Source organism: Homo sapiens, chromosome 8 (genome assembly GCF_000001405.40).
Source record: "Homo sapiens chromosome 8, GRCh38.p14 Primary Assembly".
Taxonomy (NCBI): domain Eukaryota; kingdom Metazoa; phylum Chordata; class Mammalia; order Primates; family Hominidae; genus Homo; species Homo sapiens.
In genome coordinates this window covers 141534671-141537321 of record NC_000008.11, presented here as the reverse complement: position 1 = coordinate 141537321, position 2651 = coordinate 141534671, and the positions used below count along the sequence as shown (strand labels likewise).

The 2651-nt window shown below is 63.0% G+C and overlaps 1 annotated feature.

The window, feature by feature from the left end:
* Positions 1773 to 2358: an enhancer, noted in NCBI's record as "H3K4me1 hESC enhancer chr8:142545064-142545649 (GRCh37/hg19 assembly coordinates)". NCBI's record gives its function as "activates a minimal SCP1, AML or CMV promoter by ChIP-STARR-seq in naive H9 embryonic stem cells {active_cell/tissue: H9 hESC(naive)}" and the evidence as "EXISTENCE:reporter gene assay evidence [ECO:0000049][PMID:30033119]".

Genomic DNA, 2651 nt, shown 5'->3' with positions numbered 1-2651 from the left:
AGAGGGGAGGCTGATTGGAGCTGCGGTGGGTGGAAGCCGGGATAGACTGGAAGAAGGACTTCCCAGACTCCCAGGGAGACCCAGGAAGCAGGGGAGGGTGTGGGACCCACTACAGCACCCCCACCAACCCAGGAAGGTCTCCAGCCCTGCTCAGACCATCACAGATTCTCACCACTGAACACCCCAGCCCTGCACACCCCAGCCCTGCACCGCCCAGGCCAGCCCAGGTGGAGGCTGGATCCCGGCCCATGGTGCTCACAGGCCCCCGCCCCGGGTAGCTGGGAAGGGCGTGCGGGCTGCGTGGCCTCCCCTCCAAGCTGCCCAGGGACAGGGACGGCCAGAGGAGAGCAGCCCAGGGCCAGGATCCCGCCCAGGCGGGAGGCAGGTGGCTGCGCAGGACACCCCCATGGAGCTGTCCACCTCACCTGCCCTGTGGCTGGTCACACTGCACGGCCAATGTCCCTTCACTTGTCGGGCCCCCAGCTGGACCTGAGATCCTGGGGACAAAGCCTGACAAAGGTAACTCAACTCTGAGTCTCTGGACCCCAGAACTGGGCCCAGCCCTGAGTGGGTGCCCCGGAGCTGATGGATCCTGACAGTCATAACAGCCCACCTGTTCTCAGGCTCCAGATCCATGGCCCAGTTGGATTATCCCAACTACTCACTAAGGTGGGGTGACTACTCCTCCATCTCACAGCTGAGGACATGGACGGCACACAGAGAGATCCATTACAGGGGCCAGAAGCAGACCCAGCAGCCCGGCTCCGAGTCCATGCCACCATGCCAGTGAGGCAGAACGGGGGGTGGAGGGGGAGAGGCCTCGCCGGCCCCTCTCCAGGCAGCCTGCAGGAATGGGGGACTAGGCTAAGGGTGCCATTCCTGTGCGGCCAGCAGGGCTCGTGGCGAGGCGTCCACTCTCCGCTTGAGGATGCAGAGCTCCACAGGGCCCAGGTAAGACACCAGGGGTCCGCAGTGAGGGAAGTGAGATGAGAATTCACACCCAGCACAGTAACTGATGAATGAGCGAATGCATGAGGGGGTGAATCTGTCCCACCTGTGCCAAAGGCAGGGCCCCTCCCTTGGTGCCAGGCAGGCCAGCCCTGGCTCTACCCCTCCTCTGTGTGACCGGGCAGTCCTGAGGCCTCTCTCCCTGGGCGTCCTTATCTGGGGAGGGACAAGAGCACCTGCCTGGCAGGTCCTTTCAGAGCGACCCTGAGGACAGACAGGCAGCACCTGGCACCCAGGAGAGCCTCGGGCAGCAGCTTGGCCTGGCCCTCTCCACCCAGAGCCAACGACAGGGACCCCAGCGCACCCATGCCTCCAGCAGAGAGGCCCCCGCCCCTCCCCGCCCCTCCCCACCGCCCGCCGCCCCCACCCGAGGCAGCATATGTTCCCGGCAGGCGGATCCGTCACCAGGCTGCTATTTTTGTGCAGCATGTTCTGCTTCTGAGAGCAAATGTTTCTGCAGCTCCAGTATCCAGGGACCAGCCAGCCCTGTCCCATCCCAGCAGGGGAAGAGAGGCACTGGCCCCGAAGCTAGATTTCAGGCCCAAACACAGCCCGAAAGCCCAGGAGATGGAGGCCATGCTGAGACAGCAGCGAAGCTCCAAGGTCACTCTCCGAGTCAAGGGACGGGCTGGGCCGGGAACCCTGGACCCACACAGGCTGCCTTGGGCCCGTGTCCTGGGCTGGCTGGCCTCCACTCCACAGCCTCACAGACCCCCCCAAGTGTCCAGGCCTGAGTCGGGGAGCGGGAGGAGGAGGAGCCCCATCCCCCAGGAGTGTGGGGTCAGGCCAGCCACGGGGCTATGGAGAGCAGCCCCAGACTCCCCAGTTTGGCCAAAGTTGCAGGGAGTCCGGGGTCCATGGAGTTCTCCAGGCACAGGCTTGGGGGCAGTCACTGTCAAGCCCCTCACTCAGGAAAAGAGGGAGCGTTTCCCACCTACAGGCCGCCATGCGGCCTGCCTCAAGCCCTGACTGCCCCCTCCTCCCCAGTCCCTCTGGTCACCCACTCCTGCCTGGCACCCTGAAGAGACTCACTCCGAGTGCCCACTGCATGCCCATTGATGGGACAGAGATGACCTTCCCCCTCCCCCTCGTGCTGCCTATCCAGGCCCACCCAGAAGCTGTCTCCCCTCCTGGCTCTTCCTTCCTGCCCACCCAGCTCCGGTCCTCCCTCCATCCGTCCCATCCATCCCATCCGTCCAACTCAGTTTCCCCGGTCAGCAGCATTTGGCAACAAGGAAGCAGTTCCCATGACAACGGCCAGGAAGCCAGCTCCAGATAGGGGGTTGCCCTGAGAAACTGGCTCTGCCAAGGCCTGAGCTGCAGGCCAGGGTGGGGGTATAGCCACCTGGGTGGGAGGACCCTGTGGTGGGGTCTGAGGAGGACCAGTGGGAGGAGGGGTGCCAGGCAGCCCTAGAGGGTAAAACAGCCCAGCTGGAATCCTTCCTTGCTAGGTAACCCTGGACAGATCAGTTCCCCCAAACCTCAGTTTCCCCCTCTCAAAAACAGACACATTGGGACATATTTCATTAGGTTTGCAGGAAAATGATCATTCCCAGCAATAACTGGTGCCAGGTTTAGAACCTCTACAAATGCCAGGCACTTTACAAACACTCTTCGGTCTTCAGAGGACACCTGTGAAGAAG